Below are 23101 nucleotides of genomic sequence, written 5' to 3' on the forward strand. Positions count from 1 at the left end.
TGAGCGTTTGAATAACCTCTCTGGCTACAATGCTTTTATTGGCCACAATATTTTGGAAGACTGAAGTTAACACATGGTCTGAGCAGCTTACTCTTGCCCCCCTGAAGAATTCTAGGAACTGTGTGAGGCTGCAGTGGTCAGAGGGGCTGCTGAGCCATGAGAAGAAAAGGGACACTGGAGCTGCGCAGCAAAAGGGCTCTGAGGTCGCCAGAGTGGCTGCCAGATAAGGAACAGTGGGAGGGAGCGGCTGGAGGGAACATTTGAGCAATTTTCTCTCTCTCTTCTTGGTCTTCTTGGCATTCATCTTCCCTGTGTCAGGGGACCCCTGCCTGCAAAACCGAGGAATCCGGTCATTTTTTAAAGTATAAAAATTGCCAGCATCCTGTTCTACCAGGACAAAGTCATCATGGAAATGATAATGACTGACGCCTTCCTGGGGATAAGTGGTTAACACGGTACCCGACGCAGGTAGAGGGCCTGTTGGCAGATGCGTCGTGGCTTGGATTATTCTTTCTTTAGAAAATGTTAAGAATTCATGTATCCGGGAGATAATCCGAATGTGCATCACGAGAAGAGCAGCCCAGTAAAGGATTGTTGTGTTCTTAATGAAAGGACATTACGCAGCCGTTCACAATGATGCTTGTAATAATAAGGAGGTTGTTGATATTATATGAAAAATTGCAGCACACAAAACCGCAAATAATGTAGGAACTCAGCTATGCAAAAAAAATTTTTAAAAATTAGGAAGGAAATATGCCAACAATGTTAATAGTTATTACCTCTGGGTGGTACAGAATTACGAGTGATTTTCCTCTCTTCTTCCAAAATGTCTTTTGATTGCATATCTATTACTTTTATAATCACACACACACACTCGCGCACACACACACACCTGCTTATTATTAAAAAAAATGTTGCAGAGATGAAATGTCTCTGAATATTTTAGTTCACAAATGTGTAACTGTAAGCTGTGGACATGAATACAGATGACCACTGATTCATTTATTCAGAAGCAAGAATGCTGAGATTTTTCAGGAATAAGAAAGTAAAAGCAAAATCTCCTAGCAAAGTGCCTTACCTACTTAAACAGGAAAAAAATTATTCAAATTATTTAGAGAGTTTATGGGTATGGACTAACCTCTGGGTAATTTAGTAGCCTACCATACAAGGTCCTGCTAAAAATTATAACCCTACTCATAAAACGAATGTCATCTAGTTAGGCCCCAAATATAAAATCACCCCAAATTACAGATTCAATATATTTTGTTCAGTTGCAATATTATTAGCAAACTGTTTTGCCAAAACATGTTTAATGTAGCAGCTAAACCCTGGCAGGCTAATGATCATTACCTCCTGGTAGAGAAAAGTTAAATGAAGGAGTTTTCCTACTCTGATCCCAGGATCAGCAGTGCTTGCTCAGGGAGGTTAGCACCACACGGTGAAGGGTGAGTGGGTTTGGGAGGGAGGCGGCTTTCGCATTGAGTCTTGGGTCTGCTGCTTACCGAGCTGTGTAACCTTAAGTAAGGTATTGATTCTTCCTGAGATTGTTTCTAATCCCAAAATAAAAATAGTAGCGCCTCACTGGACAGAATGGTCATGAGAATAAGAAAGTGTGCATGTAGAATAAGTAGTAGAGAGACTGGCTTGCCCTGGACACTAAATGAATGGATAAATGAATGGACAAACAGTCCAAGCAAGTGAGTTTTTTCTACCTGTCCATTAATACCAAAGTGCTGGCCAGGCACAGTGGCTCACGCCTGTAATCACAGCACTTTGGGAGGCTGAGGCGGGTGGATCACCTGAGGTCAGGAGTTCAAGACCAGGTTGGCCAACATGGTGAAACTCTGTCTCTACTAAAAATACAAAATATTAGTTGGGCATGGTGGCAGGCGCCTGTAATCCCAGCTACTCAGGAGGCTGAGGCAGGAGAATCACTTGAACCTGGGAGGCGGAGGTTACAGTGAGCCAAGATCACACCATTGCCCTCCAGTCTGGACAACAAGAGCAAAACTCCATTTCAAAAAAAAAAGTGCTTGTTCGAGTAAACACTGGGGCTGCAAGAGTGGGGCAGATTGCTACGAGTAGGCTAACCTCTCTCTCATTTCCTCCTTTTTCTCCCATTTTTGCCTCTAGTATAGAGGATGCCAAAGCAACAACATGGTTCGCAGCCTCCTCTCTAGTTAGAGGTGGCCAAGTGGCAAGGAGACATGAGGAGAAATTGGCTGGGGGATTCCAGGGAAACTTTTGGTTTCTTGATAAAAGGGTTAGGTGTCAGTGGTACTGCCTCCCTTCCTGCCTTCTTCTCTTAAACAGTGAGGTGATGGCTGGGCTACAGCAGCCATTTTGCAACCATGAGGAAAATAACAAGAAATTGGCAGAGACACTGGTCATGACAGTGTAAACCAAATAAGTCAATGGTCGGAGCTGCCTAGCCTTGTTATTATGTGGAAAGAAAGACGAAAGAAAGAAAAGAAAAGAAAAGAAAAGAAAAGGAAGGAGAAAAGAAAAAAAGAAAGGAAAGAAAGGAAAGGAAGGAAAGGAAGGAAAGGAAAGAAAGGAAAGAAAGAGCGAGCCAGCCCTGCTTTATTTAAGATACTTTTTAGGCCGGGCGCAGTGGCTCATGGCTGTAATCCCAGCATTTTGGGAGGCTGAGGTGGGCGGGTACCTGAGGTCAGGAGTTCAACACCAGCCTGGCCAACATGGTGAAACCCCATCTCTACAAAAATACAAAAATTAGCCGGGCATGACGGCAGGCACCTGTAGTCCCAGCTACTCAGGAGGCTGAGGTGGGAGAATCTCTTGAACCTGGGAGGCAGAGGTTGCAGTGAGCAGAGATTGCACCACTGCACACCAACCTGGGCAACAGAACGAGACTCTGCCTCAAAAAAAAAAAAAAAAGCTACTTTTTAAAAACCCGTAGCCAAAAGTATTCCTAGTGCATACCAATCATGACTAATTAGGTCTGGTCCTTGCACTCATGGAGTTTACCGTCTACTGGGGATGAGGACAATAGAAGGGCCTCACAGCTAAATGTCAAATTAGAATATATTATTAGCGTTACAAAGAAGGGAGTGCTTGGCCCACTCCTTTATATAGCAGGGGTTTTCAGCCAGCTGCAGGGGCAAGGGCAGCTTTCCTCAGTGGGTGATGAGAATGCTGGGGGAGCAGGGGTGAAGGAGAGAATCCCTAGCAGAGTGAACAGCAGGTGCAAGGCCCTGTGGCAGGAAAGGAGAGCACAGAGTGTGAGAATCTGTCAGAAGGTTAGAAAGCCCCTGGTCCGGGAGGGTGCTGCTGGGCTGCTGCACCATGTCCCCTACTGCTTTCAGCTCCCAATACTGGGTGGCTTGTTACCTGCAGGCAAACACTCTCCTAAGTGATCCACCAGCTTTCCCGGCTGATCACAAGAGAAAAGGATGAGTCCACAACTATTTAACAGGCTTAGCAAGTCATTTAATCCACATCTCTAAGGAGCCAGCATTGCACTAGATAACAGTGCCCTTTCTAAAACAGGAAAACTGCCCGACATAGCAATATAATGGGGCCCAATTATGACAAAATATCATAGTAACTCCAGGCCAACTAGGATAGTACTTAAAATATAGTGGGCAGGACGGCAGAGAGAGTAAATCATCAGAAAGAATGGTTCTGCCTCATAAATGGCACCAGAGACACTCAGAATGGTTTCACATCAGACTTTTAAAAATCAGCAGAAAAAAATAAATCCTCCTCTGGCTGCCCTTTTTTTTTTTTTTTTTGTAGAATAAATGAACCGAGACAGACTTGTTTATCGAGAGCTGAGGAGGCTCACATGTGAGTGGAGAGAGATGTCAGAGTCATTAGCGGTGATAAAGGGACGCCATTCACTGTGGGTATGATTTAAGGCAGGAAGCTCAACCAAGAGCAGTTTTTGCAATGGGCCTGATGATTTGCTTTCCCCCAGTGGGGAAGGAATTAGATGGACACCATTAATCTGTTCACACAGGCCATCAGAGAAAAATCATGGTTGAAGAGTAGGTTGGGTACATGAATTTCTATGGGACAGAAGCCCCTTTATGGACAAATGAGACATCTGTTAGGGTTTGATGAGATGGCTCACAGTTAACTGCGCTACACTTTGCACTTTCCAGTATATGATGGTAATCACCATAGTCTATGTGCGTGCCTCTCTCCTCTCAAAGACAACAGTATTTAAAACACTGCAAAACTGACCTGGCGTGGTGGTTCACGCCCGTAATCCCAGTTCTTTGGGAGGCCGAGGCAGGTGGATCACTTGAGGTCAGGAGTTCGAAACCAGGAGTTCGAAACCAGCATCGCCAACATGGTGAAATCCTGTCTCTACTAAAAATACAAAAAATTAGCAGGGCTTCGTGGCACATGACTGTAATCCCAATGACTTGGGAGGATGAGGCGGGACAATCGCTTGAACCTGGGAGGGGGAGGTCACAGTGAGTCGAGATCAGACCACTGCACTCCAGCCTAGGTGACAGAACAAGGCTCCGTTTCAGAAAATAAAATAAAATAAATAAATAAATAAAATACTGCAAAAATAGATATATTCTTACAAATACATGAATAGAGAAATATGTGGAAATGACCATGATACTCAGAGAAACGGCATTTTACATAACTACAGACCTGTCTTTAACACACTGTAATCACATAACCAATAATAAGCTATTACCTAAAGAAACACTCTACAAGTAAAAGCAACTGGTTGCATAGCGTGACATGTTAGAAATCACACAGGCAGGTATGAGGAGCCCGTGAAATAACTGTGGGATTTTAAACTATCGGACAAGATGAGGAAGGTAGAAAATTCCTAACTAAACATATTAAAGGAATTACAAATGTTCCAAGATGATAAAAAGATAATGATTGCCAACCTTAAATAGATATGGGAAAATTTATTTCACTCATTGCAAAAACATAAAATCTATCTGCTCAAAAGAGTTACCGCTGAATGCCTGCCACCTTCCTCCAAACCACCGTGGAGCTTTCACTGTTCCTTTCCTATGGTGATCAATGACCATTTATTGGGTGATACAGGATATGCACCCTGCACTGAAAAATCAGGGGTAGTAGATGGATGTTCAGATGAAGACATGAATGTTCAAGGGTAGTTCAGAACATTGCCCAATAGCTGCTTCTCAGTTATTTTATTATCAGTGGGGAAACGACAGTTGTTGGGGATCCCAAAGATCACCCCCAGATTGAACTGTTTGTTAGGAGGACTCACAGGACCCCGCATATTGTCATACTCCTGGCTGTGATTTATCTCAGCAAAAGGACAAAAAACGAGATCAGCAAAGGGACTGGAGGCGTGGGACGAATACACAGGGAACCAGGCACCAGTTTCCTCTCCCAGTGCAGTCACACAGGATGTGCTAACTCCTCCAGCAATAAGCTGTGACAACATGTGTGGCATTTTGTCTATGGGTCATGAGTGACCCAGCACCCAGGGCTGTTGTTGAAGCTGGTCACTTAGGCAGCCTCTGTCCAACATATACCCAAATTCCAGACTCCCAGAAGGAAAGGTGGGTGTTCAGCATACACCACATTATAGGAACCACCCCAAAATCCAGGTTCTCAGATGCACGCCAAGTGCTAGCCTTGTGAATGGGGCCTTTTGAAGGGTAAGTCTCAGGACTTCTCTGCTAGTGAAGTCTTTTCTGCACAGAAAGACTATTCAAAAAATGGAAATGGGGCCACTGGCATAACCAAGTGGAAAAAAAATGAAATAAAATTGTGATCCTTATCCCCACCACACAAAAGCCAATCCCAAATAAATTAAATATAAAACACCTTTTCAGCTCTTAAAAGAAAATACAGTAGACTATCTTTATGACCTCAGGATAAAGAACGATTTCTTAAACAAGACCCTAAAATGCACCGGTCATAAAGAAAATGGACAAAGTGGACTACGTTAAAACTTAAAAATTCTGTTCATTGAAACAATGTAATTTTTAAAATGAAAAGAAAAATCTAAGAAAAGATAGCAGCAACTGATATAAGTTGATAAGGGATTAACCTGTAAATACACAAAGTACTCTAAGTTACCAAGAAAAAGTCATTTATCTCAATGGAACAAACAGGCTGAGATGAACAGAGAATGCAGAGAAATGGAAATCCACGTGCTCAGAAAACATACGAAAGACACTCGGCTGAGCACGGTGGCTCACACCTGTAATTCCAGCACTTTAGGAGGTCAAGGCAGGTGGATCACTTGAGCCCAGGAGTTTGAGAGCAGTCTGGGCAGCACGATGAAACCCCATCTCTACAAAAAAATACAAACATTACCCAGGAGTGGTGGCTCACACCTGTGGTCTCAGCTACTTGGGAGGCTGAGGTGGGAGGTTCACGTGAGCCAGGGCGACAGAGCAAGACCCTGTCTCAAACAACAAACAAAAACCAAAAAGAAAGAAAGAAAGATGTGGCTGGGCGTGGTGGCTCACACCTGTAATCTCAGCACTTTGGGAGGCTGAGGCGGGTGGATCACGAGGTCAGGAGATTGAGACCATCCTGGCTAACATGGTGAAACCCTGTCTCTACTAAAAATACAAAAAATTAGCCGGGCGTGGTGGCAGGTGCCTGTTGTCCCAGCTATTTGGGAGGCTGAGGCAGGAGAATGGCGTGAACCCAGGAGGCGGAGCTTGCAGTGAGATTGTGCCACTGCACTCCAGCCTGGGCGACAGAGCAAGACTCTGTGAAAGAGAGAGAGAGAGAGAGAGAGAGAGAAAGCAAGCAAGCAAGCAAGCAAGCAAGCAAGCAAGCAAGCAAGCAAGCTCAACTTCTCTAAGAATTATAAAAAGGAAATTAATACCACAGTGAGGACTTATTTCTTCTTCTAGCCAAGGAGGAGGAACACACACTGGGTTTACCCTCCTGCCTGGAAGAATTAAAAAACTGGACAAGAAACACGAAGCCACAGTACTTGAGACATGGACTAGCAGGCTACGGCAGCCAGTGACCCGTAAGAGACAGGACGCTAGTGAGACAGGCCCTACAGGCGTCGGACTGCAGGATTTCTAGGCCATGCTACAGAGAGGGGAACACAGGAAGGGTCTGACAGTCTCCCTGAGATGAGAAAATAGAGCTGGGAGTGCAGGCATCAAAGCATTAAGAGTTTGAAGGACAGAAGCCAGGCGTGGTGACTCACACCTGTAATCCCAGTACTTTGGGAGGCCGAGGCAGGCAGACTGCTTGAGCTCACAAGTTCAAGACCAGCCTCCTGGGCAACATGGCAAAACACCATCTCCACAAAAAATACAAAAATAAGCCAGGCATCGTGGCACATGCCTATAATCCCAGCTACTTGGAAGGCTGAGAGTATGGGAGGATGACTTGAGCCCAGGAGGTTGAGGTTGCAGTGAGCTGAGATCACACTACTGAACTCCAGCCTTGGGCAATAGAGCCAGACCTTGTCTCAAAAATACAAAAGTAAAAATAACAGATTAGACACTACAAAAGGAAAGATCAATGAACTTAAAGGCAGTCCAAAAGGAAATATAGAGGGGGAAAAGAGACAAAAACAGTAACAAACACTCTCGGAGTATCAGTGAGCTGTGGGACAACTTCAAGCAGGCTAATAAGTGTGCAACAGAAATCCCTCAAACAGAGGTGGGGACAGAAAAAATACGTGAAGAAAGGCGGGCTGAAATCTCTTCAAATATGATGCGAGTTATGAATTCACAGACTAAGAACCTCAATGAACTCTGAATGAAAGAAACATAAAGAAGACCCAGCAATCCCATTACCAGGTACATACCCAGAGGAATATAAAGCATTCTACCATAAAGTCACATGCATGCGAATGTGCACTGCAGCACTGTTCACAATAGAAAAGACATGGAGTCAACCTAAATGCCCACCAACGACAGATTGGATAAAGAAAATGTGGTCCATATACACCATGGAACACTACACAGCTATAAAAAAAGGAACGAGATCATGTCTTTTGCAGGAACATGGGTGGAACTGGAGGCTATTATCTTTAGCAAATTAACCCAGGAACAGAAAACCAAATACCGCATGTTCTCACTTATAAGTGGGAATTAAATGATAAGAACTTATGTGTACAAAGAAGGAAACAACAGACACTGGGGTCCGCTTAAGGCGGGAGGGTGGGAGGAGAGAGAGGAGCAGAAAAGATAACCATTGGGTACTGAGCTGAATACCTGGGTGATGTCATAATATGTATAGCAAACCTGTTACTGTGGAAGTTAAAATATGCAACAATAGCACAAGTTACCTATGTAATAAACCTTCACATGTATCCCTAAACCTAAAATAAAGATGAAAAACAGAAGAAACATAAAATGACACCAAGGCATATTATAATCAAATTGCTTAAAACCAACGATAAAGAGAAAATCTGAAAAGCAGCCAGACAGAAAAAACACATTATACAGAGGAAAAGGTAAGAATTGTAGCAGTTTCTTCTTGGAAGTACTGCAAGCCAGAAGAAAAAAAAAAATTTAGGTACTGAAAAATCAATACAAAACAAAATTGTCACGCTACAATTCTATGTCCCGGCAGGGTGTGGTGGCTCACGCCTGTAATCCCAACACTTTGGGAGACTGAGGTGGGCAGATCACCTGAAGTCAGGAGTTCGAGACCAGCCTGGCCAACATGGAAAAACCTCGTCTCTACTAAAAATACAAAAATGACCTGGGTGTGGTGGCACACACCTGTAATCCCAGCTACTTGGGAGGCTGAAGCAGGAAAATTGCTTGAGCCTTGGAGGCAGAGTTACAGTGAGCTGAGAGTGTACCACTGCACTCCCGCCTAGGCGACAGAGCAAGACTCTGACTCAAAAAAAAAAAAAAAAAAAAAATTCGATGTCCAGTGAGACAAACTTTCCAAAACAAAGGTAACATAAAAACTTTCACAGACATCCTGAAAAAGTACATCATCAGCAGCCTGGGGCTGGTTACAAAAAGAAGGGTTAAAGGAAGGCTGGAAGCAGAAGAAAGCCAATACCAGATGCGGCTCTGGATCTAGACAAAGGCACGAAGCCCACCAGAAATGGCAACTATGTGGGCAAACACAGAATCCTTTTTTTTTCTTATAATTTAAATTTCTTTGAAAGGAAATTGTCTTTGTAAAAGAAAAAAAATCACGACAGCATATGGCAGGGTTTTTAGCATTTATTTGTGGAAGTAAAATATGTGACACCCATAGCACAAAGCACAGGAATGGAGGAATGGGTGTCTATTGTTATCAGGGTCTTATGTAATACGCAAAGTGGGGTGATATCGCTTGCAGGTGGACTGTGAGAAGTTAAAGATGTACACTGTGCACGCTAATGCAACCTCGAAAATGCTACAATAAAGGGTTATAGCTAATGGGCCAGGTGGAACTCAAGTGGGATCAGGAAAAATAATCTAAAAGAAGTGAGGAAAAGAGGAAAAAGGGGAACAGACAACATATAGAAAAATGGGAAGTAGTGTTACAACTCTTTTGGAATCCAGGCTTTCCAGAGTTTACTCCCAAAAAATAAAAAAAAAATTAAAAAAAAAAAGAAGAAGAATGGGAAATAAATGGCAACATGGTAGGTTTGAATTCTACCAATAGAAATATCAATAAGGCCGGGCATGGTGGCTCATGTCTGTAATCCCAGCATTTTGGGAGACTGAGGTGGGCGGATTGCTTGAGCCCAGGAATATAAGACCAGCCTGGGCAACATGGCAAAATCCCACCTCTCTATAAAAAGTACACAAATTTGCCAGGCACAATGACTGGCATCTGTAGTCCCAGCTACTCAGGAGGCTGAGGTAGGAGGATTGATTGAGCCTGACAGGGTGATGCTGCAGGGAGCCATGATTGCACCACTGCATTCCAGCCTGGACGAAAAGGGGGACTCTGTTTTAAAAATAAATAAATAAATAAATAAATAAATAAATAAATAATCACATTCCATAGAAAAGGAAAAAAATCCCTCTATAGGCACATCATACTGAAAAATCACTCATGGAAAAATACATCACCTGAATAGCCTTGTAGCTATTAAATAAATTAAATGTGTAAAAACCTACACACAACGAAAACTCCAGGCCCATGTTGCCTGTCTGGTCTCAAACTCCTGGGCTCAGGCAATCTGCCCGCCTCAGCCTCCCAAAGTGCTAGAATTACAGGCATGAGCCACCGCGCCCGGCCTTAACGAGGAAACTTTGGGCGTGACACGTGCACTCATTATTGTGATTGTAGTTTCACAGGTATATACATATGTCAACATTTATTAAATTGCACACTTCAAACGTGTGCAGTTCATTGCATGTTAAATATAACATATAACCCAATAAAGCTACTGAAAAACTGTTCACTGTGTGCGCATTTTTAAATGTCTGCCAATTATATCTCCATAAACCTAAAAGAGGAACACCACGCAGTGCCCGTCTCACACCCAAGAGACTGGTCAAAATTAGAAGCCCAACAACTGAAAGTGTCGGTGAGGAAACAGCCAGTGGACATTCGCACACATTTCTGCTATGCGTATAAATTAACATACCATTTCGTAGACAAAATCTAGCAATATCCTGGAATGCTGAAGTGATTATTCCAGAATCTCTTGCATATGGGCACAGTAACAAAGGAGAAAGCTCACTCATAGTGGCATAATTTGTGGTAGCAAAAGGCTGAAAACAACCTATGCCCAAACACAGCACAATGGTTAACTAAATTGTGTTATACTCATATATGGTAATACTCTACAACAATGAAAATAAATGAACTAGAATGATCCATATGAATGATCCATATGAATACAGAAGGCTTTCTAACATACAGGGAAACAAATCTGTAAAAGAAAATATGTGAGATACGATACCATTTACACACAGTTTAAAAACATGTGAAATAAGCTTATATATTTCTGAGGAATACATACAAATATTAAAAGCATACCTCAGAGATATTGCAGATTCAGTTCCAGGCCACGACAATAAAGTATCTCAATAAAGCAAGTCACACAAATTCTTTGGTTTCCCAGTGCATATAAAAGTTATATTTACACTCCGCTGTAGTCTATTAAGTATGCAAGACTGGCCGGGCGCGGTGGCTCATGCCTGTAATCCCAGCACTTTGGAAGGCTGAGGTGGGCGGATCATGAGGTCAAGAGTTCTAGACCAGCCTGACCAACATGGTGAAACTCTGTCTCTATTAAAAATAAAAAATTAGCCGGTTGTGGTGGTGCACGCCTATAATCCCAGCTACTCAGGAGGCTGAGGTAGGAGAATCACTTGAACCCAGGAGGCAGAGGCTGCAGTGAGCAGAGATCTCACCACTGAACTCCAGCCTGGACAACAGAGCGAGACTCCATCTCAAAAAAAAAAAAAAGTATGCAATAGCATTATGTCTAAAAAAAATACATACCTTAATTAAAAATACTTTATTGCTAAAAAAAAAAATGCTAGCAATCATCTGAGCCTTCAGTGAATCACAATCTTTTTGCTAGTAGAGGGCCTTGCCTTGATGTTCATGACCTCTGACTGATGAGGACGCTAGCTGCTGAAAGGTGGGGTGGCTGGGGCAATTTCTTAAAATAAGACAACCATGAAGTTGTCTGTATCAACTGACTCTTCCTTCCATGAAAGATTTCTCTGTAGCATGTAAAGCTGTTTTGTTTAATAGCATTTCATCTACAGAATGTCCTTCCAAATTGCAGTGAATTATCTGAAACAATGCCACTGCATTGTGAGTTTATGGAATACTCTAAATTCTTTGTTGTCATTTCAGCAATGTTCGCAGCATCTTCACCAAGAGTAGATTCCATCCCAATAAACCACTCTCTTTCTTCATTCCATAAGACGCAACTCCTCATCTGTTCAAGTTTTGATCATGAGATTGCAATTCAGTCACATCTTCAGACTCCACTTTTAATTCCAGCTGTCTTGCTATCTCTACCACATCTGCAGTTCTGTCTTCTACTGAAGTCTTAAACCCTTCGAAGTCATCCATGATGACTGGAATCGACTTCTTCCAAACTCCTGTTAATGTTAATATTTTAACCTCCTCCCACGAATCACAAATTTTGTTTGTTTGTTTGTTTTAGATGGAGTCTCACTCTACACCCAGGCTAGAGTGTAGTGGTGCAATCTCAGCTCACTGCAACCTCCGCCTCCCAGGTTCAAGTGATTCTCCTCTCAGCCTCCCAAGTAGCTTGAATTACAGGCATCCGCCACCATACCTGGCTAATTTTTGTATTTTTAGTAGAGACGGGGGATTTCATCATGTTGACCAGGCTGGTCTTGAACCCCTGACCTCAAATGAGCTGCCTGCCTTGGGCTTCCAAAGTGCTGGGATTACATGCATGAGGCACCGCGCCTGGCAGAATCACGAATGTTCTTAATGGCATCTAGAATGGTGAATCCTTTCCAGAAGGTTTTCAGTTTACTTTGCCCAGATCCATCCAAGGAGTCACTATCTATGGCAGCTACAGCTTTATGAAACGTATTTCTTAAATACATTAAACGTTTCTGTTGTGGAGATGGCTTCTTTCCTTAAACCTCGTGAACCTTAGACTTTGGCTTAAGGGAATGTTGTGGCTGGTTTGATCTTCCATCCCGACCACTAAAACTTTCTCCATATCAGCAATAAGGCTGTTTCACTTTCTTATCATTTATGTGTTTAGAGGAATCGCTAGCACTTGTTAGTTTCCTTTAAGAACTTTTCCTTTGCAACCACAACCTGGCTGTTTGGCACAAGAAGCCTAGCTTTCAGCCTCTCTCAGTTTCTGACATACCTTTCTCACTAAGCTTAATCATTTCTAGCTTTCTATTTAAGGCAAAGGATGTATGACTCTTCCTTTCATTTGAACGCTTAGAAGCCAGTATAGGGTTAGTAAGTGACCTAATTTCATTATTAGTGTGATTCAGGAAATAAGGAGGCCCCAAAAGAGGGAGAGAGACAGGGAAATGGCCACTCAGTGGAGCAGTCAGAACACACCCATTTATCTATTATATTTGCCACCTTAAATGGACATGGTTTGTGGCACCCCAGAATGATCACACCATCAAAGATCACCGATCACAGATCACCATAACAGATATAGTAAAGAAGAAAAAGTTCAAAATATTGCAAGAATTACCAAGATGTAAGAATATGCTGTTGAAAAAATGATGCTAACAGAGGCCGGGCGCAGTGGCTCACGCCTATAGTCCCAGTACTTTGGGAGGCTGAGGTGGGCGGATCACTTGCGGTCAGGAGTTTAAGACCAGCCAGGCCAACATGGTGAAATCCTGTCTCTACTAAAAGTACAAAAATTAGCCAGGCGTGGTGCCTCATGTCTATACCAGCTACTCGGGAGGCTGAGGCAGGAGAAATCCTTGAACTTGAGAGGTGGAGGTTGCAGCGAGCCAAGACTGTGCCACTGCACTCCAGCCTGGGTGACAGAGCAAGACTCTGTCTCAAAAAAGGAAAAACAAACAAACAAACAACAACAACAAAAAAAACAGAAAAAATGATGCTGGATGCATGGTTGCCACAAACCTTCAATATGTAAAAAAACACAGTATCTATAAAGTACAATCAAGAGAAGCCCAATAAAATAAGGTATGCCTGTAATAAAAATATAGAGAGATACAATCAAAAACCCAAAACTCTTAAAGATAATACTTACCTCTGGAGGGAAGCAGAGGAATGTTCTCAGGGAGAGGTGGCTACCTTCCTATCTAATAACCCTTCTTTTTGTTGGCAGCAAGTGTTCCAGCAGAGTGTTCTTAAGGAAATTAACAGTGCTACTCCAGTAAACACACAAATGATAGGAAAGTGAAACAGCCTTATGGCTGATATGAAGAAAGTTTTAGTGATCAGGATAGAAGATCCAACCAGCCACAACATGAAAATATATTACATTTTTCAGTACAATTCTGGTCTCTAGAGTAAAAGTCATTGGATAGACCTCCTTGAAAAGTCCTTTTGCTACTGACCTTTCCTCCTTCGTAGAATACAGATGTGATGGCTGCAGCTCCTGCAGCCATTTTGTAAGCACAAAGACAACAGCCATACCCTAAAGATGAAGGAGCAGAAAGCTAGGAAGTCCCGGGTCCCAGGAACCCATGTCTCCAAATGTCTCATTACCTGAGAGAAAAATAAACTCTTAACATATGCCACTGTTCTTTGCATTTTCTTGTCACATGCCCTTATCCCTAACTAAAACTGGCACACAGGAGGCTTAAATAGGACTGATAATGTTTTACTTCTGAAGCTGGCTAGGGATGCATGTGTATGCGTTATATTAATCTTTAGACTATTTTTGGTGTTTTTTTATGCTTTTCAGTTTTTCTAAGATGCTGAAACATTTAAAACTTAAAAAGAAATTGTAGCCCAATACCTAATCCTCAGTAAGATTTTCAGGACTCAGTGATAAAATAAATGAGAAATGTCTGTGCTAGGAAGCTCTGAATAGGAAGTAAAAAGCAAGCTTCCTAGAGCCACCAAAGTCATAGAATTCAAACCCAGTTTTGTCTGACTCCCCAGGTCAAAGCATTTCCCACTCTATCCCAAATTACTGAGCACAACTTTGCTTTGAAGATTAAAGCTTCCTCGTAATAAACTAGTTCTGGTTTATAAACTTAAACACAATGAGAATAGAGCAGAGGTTAAAGTGCTGTTTGAATATAAAAAGGCTCCTGCTTTCTTTAAGAAAGTCTATTAAAAAAACATCACAGGCTGTAACTGGATTTTGGTGTGAAAAGCATCTTCTGGCTCTTAAAAAGCCTAATTGATGTTAGTTTATGACATAAACTGGCTCCTGAATCACTGTTAGGGGTTTAATGAGTTGTCATGCTTGATAAGAAACTCTTATGTTATCTCCTACTCTACCACACGAAATATGGAAGCTTTGTTTAATCTTGACAGCCCTCACTTAATTCTCTCTAACGGCCTTCTGTTCAACCACAGTTGCCTTTAGATTGTTGGGAATAAATCAATCTGTGTCAGCTCTGAGTAGATCAAATTTATTAAATTCTGAAAATCAGTTAGAAGTCTATCCTGGCAGGTAAACAAATGAATAAAAAGACAGTATGTAATGGTATGAAAATTTATATATATAGTATATATATTTATATTATATATTATGTATATGTTTATATATTATATGATATATAATATATATTTATATATATAAAATCTTGCAAACTAAAACACATGCCAAAAATGAAGTGCTTTCAAAAACTGCACCAGAATAAAATAAAAACAAAGAAAAACATTTGGAGCTAGTAGAAATTATCTATTAAAATTCATCTCTGGCAAGACATTACATAACATATATTAATTAGATTATGTATTATATACTAGCTGTACTATTTATTAATATAATATATAATTACATATTAATAACATTATATAATATATAAATATGTCAATATATTAATGACATATATCTATTTCCGCCTCTCTAGCCATAAACTCCAAACTCTCTTGCCTTTCAGATTCATAAACTGAAGACCGATAGCAAAATGATGTTCAGTTAAGCAAATTCAACATGTCTGAACCTTCATAAATTCGGTATAGTGTGAATTTATGATCTAAATTTTTTTTTACTATCCTATTATTCTATTCACTGTGAAAAATATTTCTTTGAAAAGTTACTGGATTTCTTTACACACTGCTATGGACTGAATGTTTGTGTCACTCCCAAATTCGCATGTTGAAATCCTAGCCCCCAGTGATGCTGTCCTGCAGTGTGATCCTGGCCTCGGGAGACGTCTGTCCCCAGCAGAGCTAATCACCTTTACTCTTTGGGTGAAATTGAAACTGATAATATTTTGATGTCAACGCATCTCATTCAAGAGCTGAGCTGTGAAATCCTACGAAGCCATGGCAGGGGTAGGTCCCGTGCGTGCCCCAAAACCAAGAAAGCCAGGCTTTGGCAAAGGAACAAACAAAAGCAGCAGCAGCAGCAGAGAACAGAAGGCCATGCGGTCCCAGTGATGGCAAAAGTCACTGATCGCCACCCTTCCTGGTCAGATGGCCACCTTTCCTGGTCACTGATCTCCATGCCTAGACCCTCCCCTCCTCCTCCAGGTCTGACTACTCTTCCTGTCCCTGGATTCTCAATCTTCCCAAGTCTCAACAACCCCAGCCACCTCATACATTCATAAATTCCCCCTTCCTCAGAATCCATGTGTCTACCCGCCCTCCTGCCCCTAATGTGAACACACTTCCCGTTTTCCACAGGGAGCCTGTGGTTCTTTATTTGGTTCTTCTCCCTACAGGAGCCCCCTCTCATTTATTTTTTTAACGTCTCCCTTTCATAAAGTGTAGCTTTCTGAGGTTATCCAATCCTATCTGGTGACCGATCCAGGAAAAGAGGAAATGAAGCTGGCCCTCCTGTGTGGCTTGGGGAGAACCTAGGTAAGAATGACAGGCTGGGTAATGAATGGCAGCTCTGGTTGCTTGCAAGGGTGATCCTGGTCATTGCATCACGAGAAAGTCAGTCTCACGGGGGTCTTGGTAGCCCTCCTTTCCAGCTGACAGCCCTCTGAGGCTCTGCACGCAGAGTTTTTCATTTCTTTGTACACCATTGCTTTTTCAGGTAGAAGAAAACAGAGACGCTTAGTCCCTAAACTGCATCTCAGTGATGGAGGGGCACACTCGGGTTCACTGTGGCTTTTGAACCCACCCATTTGAGGGTTTAGAGGCTCTGTTTGATGACAGATGAAATAATATTGATTTTAAAACCAGCTCCACCTCTAGAACATTTCGACAGAGTGTTTTCAAGCCAAACCAAACACCAGATGAAGCCCTCTTAGTTCAAGGCAACTTTATTTCACCAGCAGCTGCTTGTTAGCTGTGGATCTGCTGTGGTGAACACACACAGGGGCGCCTGTCTTTCCCCATCATGAGACGGGCCCCCCATGCTAAAAGCAGTCACATTTAATACACTCAGGGAAGGGGGGCCCAATTTCTAAACCTGATGTCTACAAATCTGATTAAACAAATTAAAGGGGCATGTGCACATTATAAGCAGGTTCTTCATCTTACAAAAGCATCCAGTGCAGAGTCCCTCTAAGGTCCTCCTGCATAGTCTATTTATAAAAATCCAATTTCACAGGACCTTCTCCACAGCTGACAGGCAGAGGCCAAAAGGGAGAATACCAGCTTTTCTTTGGCCCCACAATGGACCCAACTGAAAAAAATGTTAAAGTGTAGCATAGGCAGGTGCTGTGGCTCACACCTGTAATCCCAGCACTTTGGGAGGCCAAGGCGGGAGGATCACCTGAAACCAGGAGTTCGAGACCAGCCTGGGCGACACAGTGAGACCTCTGTCTCTATTAAAATTAAAAAAAAAATTCTTTAAATTAGGCCGGCATGGTGGTGTGTACTTGTAGTCCCAGCTATTCAGGAGCTGAGGTGGGAGGATGGCTTGAGCACAGGAGTTAGAAGCTGTAGTGAGCCGTGACTACAGCACTGCACTCTAGCCTGGGCAACAGAGAGATCTGTTGTACAAAAAATGTGTAGCTAGCAGAAAAAGGTAAGTCAGATTCACTGGAAAACATCTGCTCCCAGGAAGCTGCAGGCAAATGTGGCTTATTCAAGACTAAGGTGAACAGTTTCCTCCTGGACATAAAGTGGCAAAAATGGGGTCAAATCATCTCTGATGGGTCCCTTCTGGCATTGGAATTGCATCATTTTTATGACGAGCATACCAGTGATGCTCATGTATTAATCACTGACATTCTCTCAGGGTAACCTTCTCACAAGCATACAGTATGCATTCTTTTTTTTTTTTTTTTTTGAGACAAGGTCTCCCTCTGTTGCCCAGGCTGCAGTTCAGTGGCACGATCATAGCTCACTGCAGCCTTGACCTCCCAGGCTCAAGCAATCCTCCTACCTCAGCCTCCTGAGTAGCTGGGACTACAGGTGCATGCCACCATGCCTGGCTAATTTTTGTATTTTTTGTAGAGATGGGGTCTCACTATGTGGCTGAGGCTGGTGTATGAACTCCTGGCCTCAAGCAATCCTCCCACCTCAGCCTCTCAACATGCTAGGATTACAGGCATGAACTACCACACCCTGCCTCAATATGTATCTTTATGTGTCTACTTGTTAGGATGTTAGGGCATTTTTGTGATAGATATAAATACTTTCCAGAAGGCTAATACGCATACAATAAAGTTAATTTACTCATTTGCTTCATCATAGGAAAACAGCTAGACACATTCAGCAAATTTAGAAGATATGTTTGGGACAGCGTCATGTGAAATCCAAGTTATGTGGCATATATGAAATTTGCATGGCAGGGGCGTGGTGGGGGCACTCTGCAAGATGCCTCAAAGAATCAGAAGTTGCTGGGTACGGTGGCTCACGCCTGTAAACCCAGCACTTTGGGAGGTCAAGGCGGGCGGATCACCTGAGGTCAGGAGATGACCATCCTGGCTAACACGGTGAAAACCTGTCTCCAATAAAAACACAAAAAATTAGCCGGGCGTGGTCGCGGGCACCTGTAGTCCCAGCTACTCGGGAGGCTGAGGCAGGAGAATGGCGTGAACCCAGGAGGCGGAGCTTGCAGTGAGCCAAGATCGCGCTACTGCACTCCAGCCTGGGCAACAGAGCGAAACTCCGTCAAAAAAAACAAAAAAAAATCGGAAGTTGGTTCAGCTCTAGGCCAGCTGAAACTCATATAATGACACGTCCACAAGACTGGCAATTTGGGAAGGACACGCTGTCCATACTGAGAAGCTGTGGATGTAGTCAGTTATCGTCTTAAATAAGAGTCTCAAACTGAAATTCACAAGGGCAAAATGCTGCAAATTATGGGAGTGATCTGCAACAATGCTGCATCTCACGTGGGCAGTTCCACGCAAACTACTCTGGGGCTGTGGCAGCAGAGATGCATTTAAGAACAGTGAGCCAGGTGCGGTGGCTCATGTCTGTAATTCCAGCATTCTGTGAGGCTGAGGAGGGAGGACCACTTGAGGTCAGTTCGAGACCAGCTGGCTAACATGGCAAAACCCTGTGTCTACTAAAAATACAAAAAAATTAGCTGGGTGTGATGGCACAGGCATGGTGGAGCACACCTGTCATCCCAGTTACTTGGGAGGCTGAGGCACGAGAATCACTTGAACCCAGGAGGCAGAGGTTGCAGTGAGCCGAGATACCACTGCACCCCAGCCTGGGCAACAGAGCAAGACTCTGTCTAAAAAATTAAAAAAATAAAATTAAAACAGTGAGTGATTCCCTTGACACATGCCAGGAAAGCCAGCCAGCAAAATGATAAATCAGACAAAACTAAGCAATTAAGGGTCCCTATGGAAGTTTATGATACCAATTTAACCCTTGAGATCAAAGTTATAGACACCTACAGTGCTCTCCCAAAAGTGTTTCCCCCTAGAGAGTATTAAACATCCATGTTAAATGATGTCAACAACTTTCCACATCTTACTTCTAAAATTTTTAGATTCAATCCCGTGAAAAAACGTTTATCTTCACAAACTAGAATCAGGGTAAGTAAGGTAGGACCCTATTATAGCACCTCGAGGTGACCAACTAAGTTATAGCACCTCGAGGATGACCAACTAAGTTACAGCACCTTGAGGGTGACCAACTAAGTTACAGCACCTCGAGGGTGACCAATTAAGTTATAGCACCTCGAGGGTGACCAACTAAGTTATAGCACCTCGAGGGTGACCAACAAAGTTATAGCCCAGGGCTGAGGGGTTTCCCAGGATGTGGGACTTTTCAGTGCTAAAACCAGAACAGTCCTGGGCAAACCAGGCTGGTTGGTCACCCTAATTTGGAAGAAGACAGATTCCAAAGCATAACTACAAGCATTACTACAAATTTGAAGGGCCCAATATAATGCAGTCGGCCTACAGGGTTTGCCTACCAGAACTGCACAGGGGGATCTTACTTACATGGGGAAAATAAAACCCACAAAATTGAATGTCTCTACTGGCTTCCCTTTGAATGTTTTGTATTTTACAGATAGAGCCTCAGATCCTGGGCATCGATATTCCACATGGATCCTGTTTGTACCTCTTGTATTCACACCGGGGAAACTGCAAAGGGAAGACTGCTAAGTAATGTAAGGGGGCCCGTGCCTGCACAAATTCTTCCTAGCAGGCACACTGGGGGCCTTAGCAGCGTATGTGTTGTGAGCGAGTAACACTTTGCATCCGCAACGGACTTCATGCCTTTCAGACAATCTGCCAGACCAGTCCTAATGGCAACCTTTTAAAAAAGGATGACAAGTCCTTCTAGCAGGCTGTCACATGTTGCCAGATTAAAACATTGTGTAATTATTTACAGGAGACGGTGGGGTGTCAGATCATTTGGCTGGAAAGACCATGTTTCCAAATAAATTTGAGAGATAGCTACAGCTGCTCTAAAACAGAGCAAAATATATGGCAACAAAAGGAAGAAGAACACATTATTGAGGCAAATCATGCAATTAAGTATCCACTCTTTGTCATAGGGCATTTTGGCTGTCCCTGCTTCTCCAGGCAAGCTTTTGGAATATTCTGAATAAGAGCTGGAGAGTCAAAGAAAGAGAAAACAAAGCCCCTTTCTATCTCCCATACTTTTCCTTCCTGCAGGAAAAGGGACACAGTACCATGCAGTTGAACACCATGTCAAGTGAGGATAAAGGAAAACAGCCATGACATCACTCCATTACTGCCACCCCCAGTGTGCCTCACAGGCCCTGCAATTTATAATCTTGTTTAATCCTCCAAGCAACCGAGGAATACAGATATCATCGCCCCTGCTGTACAGATAAGGAAGCAGAGGCTCATTGGGGTCCAGGAGCATGCCTGTGGACAAATAGCTCCTAAATGACATTGAGTTTTAAACCCAATCTCCAAAAAGCCTGTATGTTTTGAGCGCCTATGATGTGTCATCAGACAGTGAGGCAGGTACTTGGGATACAATCAGATAAATGGCAGAGAACCTATCCAAGAAGCCCACAAGCTGGAAGCGAATACAAGAAACGCCATCACTCATAGCCATGACAATTACTGAGTGCCTGTCACATGCCTGGCATTGTTCCCATTCATGACTTCAGTTCAGCCTCCCACCAGCCCACTGACCAAGGCACTATTTTCCATGATGTCTTCACTTTCTGACTTTAAAACCCAGACTCTTCACCATTAGATCATGTGCCTGAGATCAATGGCAAGAGATGAAAGCCTGGCCAAAGCACTGTGTTAATAAAGTAGGCTGATTATACAGTTTACTACAAGTAGAAGGAATTGCCACAAACTGGTACTTCTGGAGCAGTGTTCAGGAAGAAGGCAGGAACTGCAGCTGAATCTAGTAATAAGACACGATGATGATGATGATGATGACAGCAATGACAACAGCAACAACAAAAATAGAGGCTGGGTGTGGTGGCTCATGCTTGTAATTCCAGCACTCTGGGAGGCAGAGGCAGGAGGATCGCTTGAGCCCAGGAGTCTGAGACCAGTCTGGGCAACACGGCAAGACCCCATCCCTACAAAAAATTTTAAAATTAGCTGGACATGGTGGCATGTATCTGCAGTCCCAGCTACTCAGGGGGCTAGGGTAGCAGGATCACTTGAGCCCAAGAAGTAGAGGCTACAGTGAGGTATGATCACACCACTGCACTCCAGCTTGGGCAACAGACGAAGACTCTGTCTCTAAAAAAAAAAAAAAAAAAAAAAAGACAAAAAAAAAGTGCTAGAGAACCAGATTTAAAGCAGAAGCAGTCCGGAAATCACATGCAAAACTGCTCCCAGGGAGAAACGCAAGCCCAGGCACAGAGCCCCGCTTGATGGCAGGTGCTGGACAATAACAATGCTGGGATCCCCGCCTCTGCTGCCACTTTCCTCACCAGCATGGATCCTGCCCTCTCCTTTGTGTCACTCACTAAAGGCTCAAAGTCTGGTTCAAGGTGAGTCTGAGTACTAGGGCCTGGGATACATGCCTGTGTCCTAACTGCAAAGAAAGCAGAGAGGCCATCAGGCCATCTAGCTTTCATCATGCAGGTGGTTTATACCACAAAGCAGGTGAATATATTCAAGGGGTGATACGGTTTGTCTCTGTGTTCTCACCTAAATCTCATCTCAAATTGTAACCCCCGTGTGTCAAGGGAGGGACCTGGTGGGAAGTGATTGGATCATGGGGTCGGGGGGTGGTGTGGTTACCCCATGCTGTTCTCATGACAGTGCGTGAGTTCTCACAAGACCTGATGGTTTAAAAGTGTTGGGCAGTTGCCCCTTGTGCTCTCTCTCCTGACGCCTTGTGAAAAAGGTGCTTGCTTCTCCTTTGCCTTCCATCTTGACTGTAAGTTTCCTGAGGCTCCCCAGCCATGTGGAACTGTGAGACAATTAAACCCGTATCAGGTGGTATCCTTATATCAGTGTGAAAACAGACTAATACTGGGGCAAACTCTCCAAAAGTCAGAAGGGAATACCAAAGTACTGGGAGGTCAGAAAGGACAAATGGACAACCACTGAAAGCTCCTTGTTCTGTCTTTTCTAAATGAAGTCATCCTTCCAATGGCAGCTGTGGGTTCCACGTCTGTGGATTCAACTGCTGATTGAAAATATTCAGAAAAAAAATTCCGTGATGTTTCAAAAAGCAGAACTTGAACTTGCTGTGTGCTGAGTATGACGCTGAATCCGTAAGAATAAAGTGATGTGTAGCACTGTATTGGGTACAGGTAATCTATAGATGATTTAGAGTATACAGGAGAGTGTGCATAGGTTATATGCAAATACCACACTATTTTATATCAGGGACCTGAGGACTGGTGGATCTTGGTATCCTTGGGAGGGTCCTGGAACCAATCCTCCATGGATACCAAAGGATGATGATAATTGATTGCTAACTTTGCCCTTCACAGGTAGAAACAATTTTACGTGTCTCAGAAAGAACAAAGAGTTTAAGATGGTGATGCTGAGATTCTGGACAAGATGGACATGGTGATCTCTACTGGAATCCGGGGACTGCTGTACTACGGTCATATACTACTGCTGGGGGCCTGGTGTTCCCGGGGTGCACTGGGGGCCTTGCTGTACTGATATGGTCATATGCTACTGGGGGCCTGCTGTTGCTGAGGTACATTGTCAGCAGGCCTAGGCATCGAAAATGACACAACTGTCTCCTGTTCAGAAGCACTTAGAATCTCCTGCATCGT

General features: G+C 43.2%; 1 protein-coding gene and 1 long non-coding RNA gene across 6 annotated transcripts in view; one reads left to right on the forward strand and one right to left on the reverse strand.

Moving 5' to 3' along the window:
• The window catches only part of CPPED1 (calcineurin like phosphoesterase domain containing 1), a 144089-nt gene that overhangs the window by 77764 nt on the left and 43224 nt on the right, over window positions 1–23101 (reverse strand). The gene's annotated exons all lie outside the window — the stretch shown is intronic.
• LOC105371090 (uncharacterized) lies at window positions 8278–22987 on the forward strand. Of its 4 annotated transcripts, none has more exons than XR_007064994.1 (6): window positions 8278–8416; window positions 15429–15504; window positions 15659–15825; window positions 16259–16353; window positions 19927–20026; window positions 20538–20698. It is a non-coding gene; the product is annotated as an uncharacterized LOC105371090 (long non-coding RNA). The 4 variants fall into 4 exon arrangements; XR_007064995.1 differs by lacking the exon at window positions 20538–20698 and adding an exon at window positions 20417–20502; XR_933088.3 differs by lacking the exon at window positions 20538–20698 and having other exon boundaries at window positions 8311–8416; window positions 16264–16353; window positions 19927–20273.

The sequence above is a fragment of the Homo sapiens genome, chromosome 16, assembly GCF_000001405.40.
Source record: "Homo sapiens chromosome 16, GRCh38.p14 Primary Assembly".
Taxonomy (NCBI): Eukaryota; Metazoa; Chordata; class Mammalia; order Primates; family Hominidae; genus Homo; species Homo sapiens.